Source organism: Homo sapiens, chromosome 12 (genome assembly GCF_000001405.40).
Source record: "Homo sapiens chromosome 12, GRCh38.p14 Primary Assembly".
Taxonomy (NCBI): domain Eukaryota; kingdom Metazoa; phylum Chordata; class Mammalia; order Primates; family Hominidae; genus Homo; species Homo sapiens.
The window spans coordinates 93,436,225-93,452,613 of record NC_000012.12 but is presented as its reverse complement, the minus strand read 5'-3'; the positions used below and the strand labels follow the sequence as shown (position 1 = coordinate 93,452,613).

The following is a 16,389-nucleotide window of genomic DNA, read 5'->3' as shown; positions in this document are numbered from 1 at the left end:
ATCGCACTCCAGCCTGGGCAACAAAAGCAAAACTCCATCTCAAAAAAAAAAAGAAAAAAAAATGCAAATTCAAGATCAGAGATCCTACCTTTCCTACCTTGTTCATTAAAAAAAAATTTACTTCCTAGACCAGGCATGGTGGCTTATGCCTGTGAACCCAGCACTTTGGGAGGCCAAGGCCAGAGGATCGCTTGAGCTTAGGAGTTCGAGACCAGCCTGGGCAACAAAGCAAGACCCCATCTCTATCTTTAAAAAAAAAATTTAAAAAAAATTTAGTTCCTAAACCAGGTGTGGTGGCTGGTGGCTCAAAAAAAAAAAAAAAATACAAAAATTAGCCAGTCATGGTGGTATGTGCCTATGGTTTCAGCTATTCAGGAGGCTCAGATGGGAGGATAGTTTGAACCCAGGAAGTCGGGGTTGCAGTGAACCATGATGACACCACTGCGCTCCAGCCTGGGCAGCAGAGTGAGACCCTGTCTCAAAAAAAAAAAAAAAAAAAGTTCCTATAGATGGTCTAGTATAATACATCATAGGCAGAGAATGAGTGAAGGCAGGAAGGAGAGAATGTGTGCAGCCATTATGTTACTGCTGAACACATAACAAAGAAGAATATGGTGTTCCCTGCCTTAAAGGGGTGCACAATGTGGTGAAGGAGACAGGTAAACAGATTATTACAAGTGACTGTTGTTAGAACATGATGAACAAGGTGTTTTGGAGAACATGGAGAAAACTTCACTGTAGAAAGTAAAAAGTTTCCTCTTCAAAGTTTCCCTTCTTGTTAAAGAATAAATCATAAGTGTTAGAAATAATAATTTCTTTTAAAGACTAACTTCCTTTAAGCCTCCTTGCTTTGTGCAAATAACTCTCTGTTAAGCCCTATCCTATGTAGCTGTTAGACATGCTCACAGGCACATAGTACTTTCTATGTCCTTGTACTTTAACCAAGATATTTGTGCTGGACGTGCTCACAGGCATGTCCCAGCTCGCAGCCTATGCCCCTTCCTTATTTGGGAATATTATTACTTTTCTAAGTCCTTTGGTAAGCAACTTCCTCTTTTCCTCTGTTCTCCATTGCTTTTACCTATTTTTAAAAGTTTTTAAGCTGTTACCAATCGGGTGCAGTTTAGACTGTGAGGTCTGGCTCCAGCCAATGGAGACAGGACACAGTAGCAAGGACAAGCTGCATAAGGAATAAAAATTGCTTCCCTCCTTTGTTCAGATGTGCTGTCACCATTGTTCCATCTGCGAGGAGCACCCTTTCTGCAGAAAGTAAAATTGCCTCGTTGAGAGAATTTTTGTCTGAATGCTAATTTTTCCTTGTGGTACCAAGGAACAAGCATTCTGTTTTTAAATAAACATTTTACATATAACATTCATGGAGGAGGGCAAGAAACCATCAGGCAGATGGGGTGGAGAACCACTTGTGAAAAGGCAACCAGATGTGAAAATTATGGTGTTAGAGGGAGTGCAAGTATGACCCATTATAGGACGTTCAAAACAATGAAGAGATTGCCCAGGTTGTGATCTGGGGTTGCTTTCAGGGAGTTGTCATAGAAAGTAAGCAGTCGGGGCCTGGCGTGGTGGCTCATGCCTATAATTCCAGCACTTTGGGTGGCAGAGGCGGGAGGATCACTTAAGGCCAGGAGTTCAAGACCAGGTGAGGCAACATGTTCTCTATTAACAACATGTTGTCTAGCCTGGTCTTGAACACATAACATCTTTCTTATGCTACTGCTTACTTTTTGTTGTTGTTGTTAATAGGGATGTTACAACAGCATCTCTATTAACAACAACAACAACAAGAAGTAAGCAGAAGCATAAGAAAAAGTCGGGGCCGGGCGCAGTGGCTCACGCCTGTAATCCCAGCACTTTGGGAGGCTGAGACGGGCGGATCAGGAGGTTAGGAGGTCAAGACCATGCTGGCTAACATGGTGAAACCCCATCTCTACTAAAAATACAAAAAATTAGCCAGGCGTGGTGGCGGGCGCCTGCAGTCCCAGCTACTCGGGAGGCTGAGGCAGGAGAATGGCGTGACCCCGGGAGGCGGAGCTTGCAGTGAGCTGAGACTGCGCCACTGCACTCCAGCCTGGGAGACAGAGCGAGACTCCTTCTCCAAAAAAAAAAAAAAAAAAAAAAAAAAGAAAAAGTCAAGTGGTTTTGTGATTTTGTGATTACAAGAGGAATAAGTTTTCTGATTGGTGAATTTCATACTAATGAACTCAGTCTGCTCAGCCTTTTATCTTTCCCTCCTCCCATTTTTTCTCTCTCCTATTTTTTTTTTTTTTTTGTCCCTGCCTCTGGCCTCATGCATTCCCATTTGCTGTCTTGGGTTAAGGAGCTTGCAGTTGTCTAGCTGTGCTAAGTGACTACGTAGCTATAATTGCAATTATGGGGCTAGTGGGGGAACATTAGTAAGCCCAACTGACTGCTGATTTAGAGCTATATTCTCCAATCAGATTTACTAATAATGAAAGCAATATTTTAATTTCTGTCTGTTGTGTTTTTCAACTGGTTATAATTTCAGGAGTGGAAAGCCAGGTATGGTGGCTCACGCCTGTAATCCCAGCACTTTGGGAGGCCAAGGTGGGCAGATCACGAGGTCAGGAGATCAAGACCATCTTGGCCAACATGGTGAAACCCCGTCTCTACTGAAAATACAAAAATTAGCTGGGCGTGGTGGTGCGCACCTGTAGTCCCAGCTACTCGGGAGGCTGAGGCAGGAGAATTGCTTGAACTGGGGAGGTGGAGGGTGCAGTGAGCTGAGATCGCACCAATGCACTCCAGCCTGGGCGACAGAGCGAGACTCTGTCTCAAAAGAAAAAAAAAATTCAGGAGTGGAAAGAGGTGAACAATACTGAACACCCAAAACCCAACAATCTGGAATACTGAACACCTGGGGCCAACTTAAAATTCAACCATCTGAAATATCTCACACTTGGACCAAAAGAATTTGAACAGGCAGGAGGAAAGATATAGGTATTGGGTCAGAAGAGTTTAGAAAAGCAGGAGTAAGTAAATTATAAGTCAAGGTTCCTGTTGCAACTGTTTTGCTTTTCTTGAAAAGATCACATTATATGACATTGACTCTCAAGCTTCAGACTCTTCAGTAGCCCCTAGGGAGCTTGTTAAAACCACAGAGACATGGGGACTATGACTTGAACTCAGAAGACCTTGGGCAGGGCCCCTTCACTAGTATGTTCAACTAGTCTCTGAGGTGAGCAAGCAGTCTAAAGTTTGAAAACATCTGTTCCAGGGTATATCGGATCCCAAATCAATGCACTTAGAAGAAAAATAACAATTTCAAAAACATTTCTAATCATACTAGAAGCAGATGAATTTTTTTTTTTTTTTTTTTTTTTTTTGCAGATAGCAAGTGACATAATAGAGAAACATGGGAGAAATCAATCAGACTTGAGACAGACAGGTGATGGTGAAGGAGGAAGAAAGGTGATGGGAGTGAATTAAAAAGAAACTTGGGTGGGGCACACCAGGTGGGAGGAAGTGGGAGAACAGTTTAGGCTGGGTAGGGGCTGAGTATGCAATCACTGGCAGAGTTACGAAGTGACTGAAGCCCAGGGACGTGGAAAGCAAACAGTTCTCCTGGGAACCTGAAAGGGTGACACACAGGCGGAGAAGTGAGCCCTGCTTTGCAGAGTTCCTGTTCCAGCCAGGCTTCTGGCCAAATGTCTTGAGTTACCAACCTCTGGAGTCCTGTTTCCACTGGGAACTGGCCCAGACAAAGGAGACGAATATACGTGTGGAACACCCTCCTCCATCCACTTTTATTTATTTATTTATTTATTTGAGACAGAGTCTTGCTCTGTCACCTAGGCTGGAGTGCAATGGCACAATCTCGGCTCACTGCAACCTCCACCTCCTGGGTTCAAGCGATTCTCCTGCCTCAGCCTCCCAAGTAGCTGGGATTACAGGCACGTACTACTTACTATGCCCAGCTAATTTTTTTTTTTTTTTGTATTTTTAGTACACATGGGGTTCACCATGTTGACCAGGCTGGTCTCGAACTCCTGACCTCAAGTGATCCGCCCACCTCGGCCTCCAAAGTGCTGGGATTACAGCCATGAGCCACCTCACCCGGCTCCATTTACTTTTATAGGAACATTGCAGAATCAATGATGGATCCTACAAAATCACTCTAGTGGTGCATGCACTTAAAGGTACTTAAAGCTGTCACTAGGTGAGATAACATTCACAAACACTTTGTAAAGCATAAAACACTAAACAAAGCAAAGGTGTATTACTCTGATTCTCCTGGGTCTCATGTTTCCCAGGGTCTTCCATGTGAGACAGCACTCCTTAGGGACTGCCTATGACCCTGGAAGATCCCACTTAGGTCCTTCTTACAGGCTGGTCTTGTGCTGGTTAAGAGTTTGTAAGTGCTCAATGTCTTATGATGAAGGCATGAATATAAGCCACCATGCAATTTTTCTTCCTTTTTTAAAATCAGTGAGCAGTCTTTTCTTCCCACACCCCCACCCCACCTACTGCCTGTTTGAGTCAGTGTTCATGAACCTTCCTCTCACAGATTCTACTGTCTTGATCACCCACGAAACAGTTTCCCTACGCTGCAAGAAACAATAAGGGAACTTGCAAACAAATACTTCTGCCTGATGACAATTGTATATGAATTGAAATAGGACCTCTATTAAAGGTGACTGATATACCATTTTCCAAACTGAACTACTCTATTCTTTTTCTGCAAAGCATTAGTTTGTAGAAAAACTCTGTTGCTCTCCAGAAAGTCAAGTTGAAAGGTTTAGAGATTGACATAAACATCCTGTGCTTTCTCTAAGTGTTCACTTACGGATCATGAATCTATGGCAACCATTCTCAAACAGGTGTTTATATTCAGCCTGCACCGACTGATTTATTCCCTTGACAAGTATTTTTTGAGAGCATATATGTAGCAGTCCCTGCACTTGGGCCCAGGATACAGAGGTAACCAAGACAGAGAAGATCCCTGACTCTGAGAAGATCAGGCACATATGTCCTAAGTTATTGCCTATAGGGTAAATAGTACTTAGGTCTCTGCCATTACAAGACCAAAGTAGAAAACCTGGAATATTTGGGGGTGGGTAATGAGGAAGCAGCAAGGGGCAGTAAAATATTGTTTGGGGGAGTAAGAGTTTCTCATACAATGGGACTCCTCTAATGCCTCCAACATAGCATTCATTCTTATTTGCTTGTCCCCTGTAAGATAATGCAAAGGCACTTGCACTTTGAGTCCCAGAAGGAGCAGAGACTGGAAAAAAACAAGGAGAAGAGTGCGGCCTGACAAAGAACCAAAAAAAGACTAATTAGCTAAGAGTTCTGGTCTGGGCGTGGTGGCTCATGTCTGTAATCTCAGCATTTTGGGAGGCTGAGGTGGGTGGATCACCTGAGGTCATGAGTTCGAGACCAGCCTGACCAACATGGTGAAATCCCGTCTATACTAAAAAATACAAAAATTAGCCGAGTGTGGTGATGAGCGCCTGTAGTCCCAGCTACTCAGAAGGCTGAGGCAGGAGAATTGCTTGAACCCGAGAGGCGGAGCTTGCAGTGAGCTGTGATCGCACCACTGCACTCCAGCCTGGGCAACAAAGCGAGAGACTCTGTCTCAAAAAAGAAAAAAAAAGAAAAAAGGAAAGAAAAAAGAGTTCTGGGCCAGACATGGTGGCTCACACCTGTAAGTCCAGCATTTTGGGAGGCAGAGGCAGGAGAATTTCTCGAGGCCACGAGCTTGAGACCAGCCTGCACAACATAGCCAGACCCAGTCTCTACAAAAAAATTAAAAATTACCCAGGCATGGTGGAGGCTGAGTGGGGAGAAGTTGGAAACTACATTGAATTATGATTGCACCACTGCACTTCAGTCTGGGGCAACAGAGCAAGACCCTGTCTCTTAAAAAAAAAAAAAAAAAAGAGTTATGGCTAGCACTGCTCAGCTTAGTGAAGCTATCTGGCCACTGTCATCATTTATTCAGTACCATGGACCTGGACCAGCATCTTTTTGCTGAGTTTTGAGTGTATTATATAATTCCTGATCAGCACTGTTAGAGCTTTGAATACCTCTTGAGCAGTCTATTGAAATTTGTGAACTGAATACATATTTCACATTTTGAATAGGTAAAACATTCACGTGGTTCGTAATTCAAAAAGTATAAGAGTACACAGTAAAAAGCCTCCCTTTTACATTTGTTCTCTAGCTGCTCAATATCCCACCTCTGAAGGAATCCAGTTAGTTTGTTAAAAAAATGTTTTGTGGGTACATAGTAGGTATATATATTTATGAGGTACATGATCAGTCAGTTTTTTAGATATCCTATTTTATCCATATTTTATGGGTATAGTAAGTAGGATTTTTAAAAATAAGTTTTGGCCAGGAATGGTGGCTCATGCTTGTAATCCAGCACTTCAGGAGGCTGAGGTGGGAGGGGTCGCTTAAGCCCAGGAGTTCGAGACCATCCTAGGCAACATGGTGAAACCCTGTTTCTAAAAAATTTAAAAATTAGCCGGGCATGGTGGTGTGCATCTGTAGTCCCAGCTTCTCAGGAGGCTGAGGCCCACTTGAGCCCAGGAGGTTGAGGCTGAGGCTGCAGTAAGCCATGTTTGCACCACTGCACTCCAGACTGGGCAACAAGTGAGACCTTGCCTCAAAACATTTTATTTTATTTTATTTATTTTTTGAGGCCTAGTTTAGCTCTTGTTGTCCAGGCTGGAGTGCAATGGTGCCATCTCGGCTAACTGCAAACTCTGCCTCCCAGGTTTAAGCGATTCTCCTGTCTCAGTCTCCCAAGTAGCTGAGATTACATGCATGCACCACCACACCCAGCTAATTTTGTATTTTTAGTAGAGACAGGGTTTCACCGTGTTGGTCAGGCTGGTCTCCAACTCCTGACCTTGAGTGATCCACCTGCCTCAGCCTCCCAAAGTGCTGGAGTTATAGGGGTGAGCTACTGTGCGTGGCCAAATAAAATTATTTTATTGTTTATATTGAAGGTATACAACATGATGTTATGGAATATGTCGTATCAATAGTAAATAGGTTACTATTGTGAAGCAAATTAACATATCCATCGTCTCACATAGTTACCTATGTTTTTGTGACAACAGTAGCTAAAATCTACTTATTTAGCATGAATCTCATACATAGCGTAAACTTATTACCTATAGCTCTCATATACATTAGCTCTCTAGGCTTGTTCTCATGTACATTAACTCTCTAGACTTGTCCTAAATATCTGCTACTTTGTACCCTCTGATCTACATCTCTGATTCTCCATCACTCCACCCCACAACCTGCTCCAGGTAACCACTGTTTTGTTGTCTATCTCTGTATTAGAGTAAATAGGATTCTTAACTAGCCCTCTAATTTGAGAACCGTATCTCAGCCCTGTGACAACCTGTTCTTCTAGAGTATATCCTGTTCCACAGGATTTATATGAATCGGAAGTTCAGATTTTCGTTTCCAGATGAGTTTAGTGCGAGCTGTCCTCAAGAGGGGAAGAAAACAGAAAAAACAATTTGGAGAGACAGGAAAAATGTATATGTTAAAGTGTTAATACTCTCAGAGAATTTTATGCCATCAAAGCAATCTCTACCAAACAAGGTTATACTATCAAGTTTTAAAAATCTGGTTTCCTAAAGAAAACTACACATGGTTCTATCAAATTACAAAAAATAAGTGATTGCTAAGTGCTGTGTACTGTTCTAAGTACCTTATACAAATTACATCATTTAAACTTCCCAACAACCACATGAAGGTAAGTATATTTAATAGGTGAAGAAAACAAAGGACAGAGAAATTAAGCAAAGTGTGTTTTCAAACCCCGACTGGGGGCTCCAGAGCTCTCACTCTTAACCTAAATGATACTTATTGTCTGTTCTAATAGAAGATAGACAAAAGGAGGCCAGGTGGAGTGACTCACACCTGTAATCCCAGAATTTTGGAAGGCCGAGGCAGGAGGATCACTTGAGGCCAGGAATTGAAGACCAGCTTAGCCAACATGGTGAAACTCCATCTCTACTAAAAATACAAAAATTAGCAGGGGGCAGTGGCACACGCCTGTAATCTCAGCTACTCTGGAGGCTGAGGCAGAAGAACTGCTTGAATCTCAGAGGGAGAGGTTGCAGTGAGCCGAGATCATGTCACTGCACTCCAGCTTGGGTGACAGTGAGAGACTCTGTCTCAAAAACATAAAAAAAAAAAGCACCTGGCACCTCTTTTTGTTTTGCTTATTGTTTTTTTTGTTCTCGTTTGTTCAGAATTTTTTGTCTTCAAGTGTTAGTATCCATCAAAATTACCCCTGATGTTTAAATGCAGATTCCCAGGTCTCAGCACTGACCTAGAGAATTAGAATCCCTGGGGGAAGGGCTCCAGCTGCAGGAATGCTTTTTTTAAAACAAAACAAAACAAAACAAAAAACAGTGCCCTAGATGATTCCAAGGCGGGTGGCTGGTAAGCATACTCTGACAAATATTGTACATGTGGCAGTTTCTTTCCCAAAATTGGCCACAACCATACTTTCCATCACATATATGCTGCTAGTTCCTAGAGTCTTGCAGCTCCCCTTTCAAGAGGTGGTGTCCATGTTCCCTGCCCCTTGAGACAGGGTGAGTTTTGTGGCTGATTGACTGATGGATTATGGTTATTGTGATGCCATTTGACTTCCACGAGGCCATGTGATTTCCACGGCTGGGTCAAAAAAGGCGATTTAGTGTCCATTTCAGCTTGCTAGAACACTTACTCTTGGAGCCCAGCCACCATGCAATGGGGAAGCCCAAGATGCCCCAGGGAGAGGCCCACTTGGAGTGAAACTAACAGCCAGCACCAACTTGCCCGCCTTGTGAACCATCATGGAAGCCAATCTTCTGGTTGCACAGGCTGATGCAGCACAAGCAGAGTGTGCCTTCCTGCCAAGCCCTGCCCAGACTGCAGACCTACACACTCCCAACACAATAGCACTCTGCCTTTCTGCCTACCAGCATGAATTATCCTGGGTCCTCTATAAAATATTCTGAAAAGTATCTTTGTCCAGTTTCATTTACTTTTGCAGATTCTTCTAGTCACAGAACCACCTATTGCAGACTTCTGGTTATTTGAAATTCTCATTATTACCTCTGAACCTTGGCTTCTCATCTAAAACGTTCTGTTAATAATAGAGACTACTTCATCTGTTTCATAATTGAATGATGTATTAAATTTATTAACCATTTAGCATCGTGCCAGCACAAAATATTTCTTATTGTTCTTAGTAGGTTTCTTGTATTCAGAGTTCCAGTTTCTTTAGTGCACTATTTTTTCTCTCTCATAGCTCAATGCCATTTCACAGGCCATTTCCTATGCTTGGCATACTCTTCCCTACAAGGTCAGGTAGGTTCTTACTCATCATTGAGGACTTCACTTATTTAAGAAGGCTTCCCTGAGTTCTCAAGCAGTTAATGCCTCTCTGCTAAAATAGCACCTTGGAGGAACCTGTATTACAGACAGCCCTTAACACATTGGATTGTAACTAATTGTTTACTGGTCTCTCTTCTCCATTGGAATCTAAGTTCCTGGAAGGCACGGTCAGTCTTGTCTTCATTTATTCACCATCTACTGTCTGTTAGTGTGCTAGGAAACACTGTGGTTAAGTAGTTAAGGGCCAGGTCTTGGCGGATCTGCCTGGGGACAAAACAGCTCCTTGGAAAAGGTTAACTATCTAAGCCTCATTTGTAAAATGGAAACAACACCTCCTCACGATTGCTGTGAAGATGAAGTAAAGTGCTTGCAAACAGTCCATCACACAGCAAACCATCCGTCATCAGGATAAAACGCTTCCCCAACAATTCAATTTTCGGGCACCCCCACTCTAATTCTCTCATAGGACCTCGCACTCTATAGGTAATCTCTGCTTTACGGATTACTCTGGGTTCTTTAAACCTCTCCTTGGTCATTCGTCCTGTTAACAATTCTGAGTCTCAACCTTTAGGTCTAGGCGTTCAGAACCATTCTTCCCGCCTCCAACTCGCTCCAAACCCTTTTCCTTCAGCCTACCCTGGGCCTAGGGGCGTGTCAGAGGTCCGATTTATACAATTTAAACATCAAAACTCCCCCAACAGCGTGTGAGTAACTGGAGAGACCCCCAGTCAGAGCTTTGCCACCGAGTTTCGGTCTTGCCCTCCCTTTGAGGAAGGAGCAAGACGATGAGCCCCACCTCAGTCGTTCACTGCAGAGCCAGCAGGGAACGCGCGCAATGCAGGCTGAGCTGAAAGAACGAACGCGTGAGCTGAAAGAACGAACGCGTGAATGAATGAATGGGATACGTCGTAGGCCAGGCCTCTGTTACGTCGTCCACCGGCGCGGGCGTGGCCACGGTTAAGAGAGACGCGCGCGCAGTCGCGCGCGGGTCGTGCCGTACCACCGTCGCGGGCAGGCTCGGCCACGAGCGCCAGAGCCCCGCGCCTCCCCTCGCGGCCTGTCCCAAGTCCCTGCCCCGCAACAGAGCGTCACTTCCGCCATCCCCGGCAGCGGTTGGGGCGGGGCGCACGGGGGAGGGGGCCAGGTCGGAGGGAAGCCCGCCCGTGCCCGAGCCCGCGCCCGAGCAGGGACTACATTTCCCGAGGGGCCTCGGCGGCGGCTGCGGCGACGGGCGCGGCAACGTCCCCCGGAAGTGGAGCCCGGGACTTCCACTCGTGCGTGAGGCGAGAGGAGCCGGAGACGAGACCAGAGGCCGAACTCGGGTTCTGACAAGATGGCCGGGCTGCCCCGCAGGATCATCAAGGTAACCGCCCAGGCCGGCCTCCAGCTCTTCGCTCTGCTCTCGTCGGCTCAGCTGGGCAGGCAGCGCGGCCTCTCGCCTCCTTCGGCCCGCGGCCCGCTCTGGGAGGCCCGAGGCGGCGCGGAGAGGGGTTGGCCGCGGCGGCGAGGGAAGTCGGGTGCTGAGGAGGGGGCGCCGGGGAGACTTCCGGCCGCGGCGGGGCAGCCGGACAGCGGGGACCCGGGGCTTCCAGGCGGCTGCCCGGCGGGCCAGGGAGTGCTGTCCCACGCCCCGGCGGAGGGTGGGGCGGCAAGGCTGGGGGTCTCTGGGCTTGGGCGCGGGCCTCCATAGCTTCTGAGACCACCCCCCCGCCGGAGGCCGCGGGCGCGCGGGAATCGCGGCGGGGCTCGGGCGCCTGGTGGGGATTGTGGCCCGACAAGGTCCCTCGGCAGCCAAGCCCCTCTTCTCCGCCCCGACGGGGCCGCGGAGGTGCGGCAACCGCGGGTGCAGAATGAATGAACCGGGAGGGTCAGGCCGGGCGGGGCCCTGCGCCCCGGGAAGTGGCTCTGGGAGGCCCGCGCGTCCTGCCGCGGTCAGCACATGCTCGCCCCTGGTTGCCGCGGCTGCCTGGGTCCCGGGACGTGGGGGCCCCGCGCCCCGCTGCCCTTGCTTCCGCGATCTCTCTCTTCTGAATACGTTTCCGCTCGTTTATCTCTGCGAAGTGATTTTACTCTGGTTGGCAAACTCTTTCAGAGCTGTTCCGAGGAAATAGTTTTAACACAAGGCTGGGGGAGGGCCGCAGTTATGGGGGATTCTCTTTCTCTCTCCTCTTCTCTCCTCTCCTCTCTTTTTCGTAGATATGAGGCCTCGCTATAGTGCCCAGGCGGCTTCCAAAACTCCTGGCTTCAGAGATCTTCCTACCTTGGCCTCTGTGGGGGATCTCGTGAAATCTTTTGCCCCTCAATTTTGTGCGTTTTAATTATTAATTGGCTGTTTATGAATACTGTGTTTTGACAAGTATGTATGGAACCATGACATTTTCGATTCTTTGATTTTGTAAAGTCTTAAGGAAATATCGACAAGTCTTCAGACGTGAGATATTCCTTGTCATCACAACAACTAAACCTTAAATTTTTGTGTCGGTTTTTATGAAGGAAATTAGTTGCACATTTATGTGACTAAATGCGCCAGTTAAAGTGACTCAATTGCAGCATCATTTTGCTTGATATAACCTGGTGAACGTGTATGTTAATCTTGCTCATTCTTGTGAAATCTGTGGGGAGATGCATACTAAGTGGAAGACCTGTTAGGCTTCGAGGATGATGTACTGTATACTGCTTCATCCAATTGCATTTAAATATATCTGAGATGAGGGAGATGTCACTGACCTAAGGGTGCTGATGTAGAGAAATAAGACGTTTTTGTATGGTAGAAATTCTTAGAAATGAGAGAAGTAGAACAGATTGTCAGGGAGCACTGGAGTCTAATAATGTGAATCTTCATAGTCCGAAATTTGTTGTGTGTGGATTTATCTAGGATTCTGTCCAAGGAGTTTTAATTGTCATATGTATTGGCAGGTCCGTACAACGTGGTTTTAGTTATAATGCAGTCACATGGTCCCCAAAGGTCATGTTTATTGAGGCCCCAGTTGAAAAATGAATAGGGAGTGATAGAGCCATACATCAAATATCCTTGTTTTCGTTGTTACTTAGGTTATTGACTAAGTACATAATGCAAGTTGACATTCATGATAATTCTCTGAAATACATAGTGAACTAAACATTTAACACGCATTTTTCTATTTTTGATTATGAAGATATGCCCAGTAATATGAAAGCCTTGGATGAAAAAATAAATTCTGTGGAACCTTGTTTATAAATTTACAGAAATGGTTTAAGGCAATAAGTTGAAGTCCTCATGATTCAATCCATTTGGCACACAGTAATTTACACTGGGCATTTACATTTTGCTGTTGAAACTAAGACAGTAACTCATACTGTGATATATAATCTTAATTTTACGGTATCTTGTTGACAACATCTATCTAATGAATGACACCTTGATTTGGGTTTTATCTTACTAGTTTAGTGTCATTTATAGCTTAAAAGGATGGTTTTCTCTAATCCTTAAACAGAAGACTAAAAGACTAGATTTTTAAAAGTGTCCATGCTTGTGTTATGTAGGTTGTTCCATAATCAGTGACAATGCTTTAAAAAAAATCAGAATTTATTTTTAAAAGTTGCCTCTTTTCTGTCAATCACTATACAAACTTCTGTGTGGTGGATGGGGGTAACGGTATTGTCCTGAGGCAATAGGGACATGACTTTGTTGATTGGACTGTTAATTTGTTTTATTTCTGGGTGATCTTTGACTTTCTTCTTTTCTTTCTGTTTTCTTTTCTTGAGACTCGTCTCACTCCGCTCCCAGGCTGCAGTGCAGTGGCAGGATCATGGCTTACCACAGCCTTGATCTCCTGGTCTTAGATGATCCTCCCACTTAAGCCTCTTCAATAGCTGGGACTGCAAGGTGCATGCCACCACACCCAGCTAATTTTTGTAGGGACGGGGTTTCGCCATGTTGCCCAGGCTGGTCTCAAACTCTTGACCTCACACAATCCACCCATTTCAGCCTCCCACAGTGCTGGGATCACAGGCGTGAGCCACTGTGCCCCGCCTGACCTTTGACTTTCAAAGGATGAAATTTAGTGTTGATATAACATCAGTGTTAGCATTCTCATCTAATGAAAATGTTAAAATAAGGTGGCTTGATTTGCATGACTGTTAATATGATGCTTTCTAACTTATAATGATCACTATTTACATTTGTAGATTTCTTAACCATTTGATTCTTACAGACATTTTTGTGAACTAGACAATATATTTTGCAGTCTAGAAACTGACTTAAATGACTTTCCTAAGGTAAAGCTGGTAAGAGGCAGAATTTGGATCTTGATTAGTGTAACATTCCCCTGTCTCTTGTTACTGTAAAATGACTAACTACAAATACAAGATGATTTTCTGGACTACTATTCACCCAGTTGCTATCTCATTTAGATTCCTGTATCTAATCCAGTAGCAAATTCTGTAGGTTCTGCTTTCAATATATGTACTAAATCAGACACTTTCCCCCCTGTCTTTCAAACCTCTGTTCACTTCCATCATTTACTGCCTGGCCTCCTGTATTAGCCTACTTTGGAGCAGCAGCTAGTGTTATCTTCTTAAAATATAGACCATGTTACTCCCCTGCTAAAAACTGTAGAGGTTCTCCATCACACTTACATTAGAATCTTGCCTTCCCCCCCACCCCTTAGCTATAAGGCCCTGCATTCATTTGGGATGCCTACTTCTGAGCGCATCTGCACTTCTCTCTCTGGGTCACTCCACTGTAGCCACACTGTTGCTTTGCTGTACCCTGAACAATAAGTGGTTGAGCTTATTCCAGTCACAGGACTTTCCTCCAGTTTGTTGCATTGCTTGCTTTGTCCAGTTGTTCCGTTCTTAGCTCATATGTCATACCCTCTACCTAACCTGTCCCGTATAAACCAGTTTCCCTTTTTCCTCCCCCACAATTTTATCCTCCTATCTCCCTTTCTTCTGTATAAGTGCTTATTACTGTTCGAAGTTATGTTATTTACTGTTTATTTCTCTCTATTCCCCATTAAACCTTCATGAAGTTAGGGACTCTTGGATATCCCGGGCATTGCTCATTCGTGCCTAGACCAATCCTTGGCACATAGTAGATACTGAAATATTAATAGACTAACTGAATAGATGAGCCTTAATCTCAATGAGCAATAATTTGACATTGTTACTCCTTGGTATATTCTGTCTGAACCAATGTCTGAGCTAAAAGTTAAAGCTAGTCTCGTTTTCCACCCATAAGCTCACTTAAAAAGGACATCAATCTTTTACATTATTTCTTTTTTGTGTGCCTACTCTGCTTATGTATCTTTTTTTATTAACTAGGAAATGCACACATAGAGCACATTTGAAAGGCTCTGAAGGATACGTAGAGAATCCCTCATCTGTCCTTCAGCATTCCAGTTCCCCTGCTTAGAAAACCACTGTTTTTGTTTGTTTGTTTGTTTGTTGAGACGGAGTCTCCCCCTGTTGCCCAGGCTGGAGTGCAGTGGTGCAATTTTGGCTCACTGCAAACTCCACCTCCCAGGTTCAAGTGATTCTCCTGCCTCAGTCTCTTAAGTAGCTGAGACTGCAGGCATGTGCCACCACACCTGGCTAATTTTTAGTAGAGATGGGGTTTCACCATGTTGGCCATGCTGGTCTCAAACTCCTCTTCTCAAGTGATCCACCTGCCTCAGCCTCCCAAAGTGCTAGGATTACAGGTGTGAGCCACTGCACCCGACTTCAACCACTATTTTTATTGTGTATCCTTACAAGAAGACCAGAGCAACTTTCTGCTATAAGTTAGGCGTCTTCTCCTTCTCATGCAAATACCTTGATTCCCTTCTCTTCCCCTCTAACCACCTATGTATCTTCAAGTTGACTTTTTTTTTTTTTTAAGAGACAGACTGCTGCTTTGTTGCCCAGGCTGGAGTGCAGTGGCTTTTCACAGGCGTGATCATAGTACACTATATACATACAGCCTCGAATTCCTAATATCAGGTGATCTCTACCTTCAGCCTCCAGTATCTGGGATTACAGACATGCATCATAGTGTTCTGCTTTGGCTCTTTTTTTTTTCTCAAAGGGCTGTTTAATGGAACCTTATGGTTAGACTTTATTTTATTTTTTCAAATATTGGAAATTTAATACTTTTTCAGTAGAGATGGGGTCTTGCCATGTTGCCTAGGCTGTTCTCGAGCTCCTAGGCTCAAGTGATTCTTCCACCTCGGCCTCCCAAAGTGCTAGGGTTAACAGGCATGAACCACCGTGCCTGGCCTAGACTTTATTGTAACTAATTGCTTATTCATAACTTTCAGAATGTTTCCTAAATTGTGCTATATAAAAAATGCTGTAACGAAGTTTTGTATGTATGGCATTTTGCACAAGTGTGAGTGATATTGAGTCTTAGTAGTTCTGTTTTAAGCTAGAATCTTTAGTTTCGTTTTTCTGCCTTATCTTCTGGACCAAAGCTCTTTTAGCCAATAAAAGTGACTGAAGCTGGGCATGGTGGTTCACACCTGTAATAACAGCTCTTTGGGAGACTGAGGCCCAAGGATTGCTTGAAGCCAGGAGTTGAGACCAGCCTGAGGAACATAGTGAGATCTCCATCTCCACCAAAAAAAAAAAAGTGAGCAGTTAAAGCTTAAAGTCATAAAGGTTAGGAGGTACCTAAAATGTCCCTCAAATGAGAGGTTCTGCATAATCCTGTCATAAAGGAGAATCACTTTCGGGAACCGATAAGTGAGATCTATAGTTATGGCCTTGGTCAAAACCAAATCTGTTTCAGCTTTACATGTTACGTTGATACAGTGACTGACATTCCTTTAATGGTCTTTTCAGAATTAATCATGAGGGCTGAGCACTGTGGCTCATGCCTATAATCTCAGTACTTTGGGAGGCTGAGGCGGGAGGATCCCCTGAGCCCAAGGTTTCAAGACTGGGCTGTACAACATAATGAGACCTTGTCTCTACAAAAAGATAAAATGAAAATTAGCCAGGTGTTGTGGCACACATCTGTAGTCCCAGCTACTC

The 16,389-nt window shown here is 44.5% G+C and overlaps 1 protein-coding gene across 1 annotated transcript in view, besides 5 other annotated features; it reads left to right on the top strand.

Annotated features, from left to right (window-relative positions):
- Nucleotides 10,132-10,769: an enhancer, noted in NCBI's record as "NANOG-H3K27ac-H3K4me1 hESC enhancer chr12:93835621-93836258 (GRCh37/hg19 assembly coordinates)". NCBI's record gives its function as "activates a minimal SCP1, AML or CMV promoter by ChIP-STARR-seq in primed H9 embryonic stem cells {active_cell/tissue: H9 hESC(primed)}" and the evidence as "EXISTENCE:reporter gene assay evidence [ECO:0000049][PMID:30033119]".
- Nucleotides 10,262-10,721: a silencer, noted in NCBI's record as "silent region_4710". NCBI's record gives its function as "represses an Ori minimal core promoter by ATAC-STARR-seq in GM12878 lymphoblastoid cells {active_cell/tissue: GM12878}" and the evidence as "EXISTENCE:reporter gene assay evidence [ECO:0000049][PMID:35858748]".
- The window catches only part of UBE2N (ubiquitin conjugating enzyme E2 N), a 36,264-nt gene continuing 30,541 nt past the window's right edge, over nucleotides 10,667-16,389 (top strand). Inside the window, exon 1 of the mRNA NM_003348.4 lies at nucleotides 10,667-10,759. Coding sequence (NP_003339.1) covers nucleotides 10,730-10,759 — 30 coding nt within the window. The 5' untranslated portion in view covers nucleotides 10,667-10,729. The remainder of the gene's footprint in view (nucleotides 10,760-16,389) is intronic.
- Nucleotides 10,802-11,011: a silencer, noted in NCBI's record as "silent region_4709". NCBI's record gives its function as "represses an Ori minimal core promoter by ATAC-STARR-seq in GM12878 lymphoblastoid cells {active_cell/tissue: GM12878}" and the evidence as "EXISTENCE:reporter gene assay evidence [ECO:0000049][PMID:35858748]".
- Nucleotides 11,162-11,301: a silencer, noted in NCBI's record as "silent region_4708". NCBI's record gives its function as "represses an Ori minimal core promoter by ATAC-STARR-seq in GM12878 lymphoblastoid cells {active_cell/tissue: GM12878}" and the evidence as "EXISTENCE:reporter gene assay evidence [ECO:0000049][PMID:35858748]".
- Nucleotides 11,332-11,451: a silencer, noted in NCBI's record as "silent region_4707". NCBI's record gives its function as "represses an Ori minimal core promoter by ATAC-STARR-seq in GM12878 lymphoblastoid cells {active_cell/tissue: GM12878}" and the evidence as "EXISTENCE:reporter gene assay evidence [ECO:0000049][PMID:35858748]".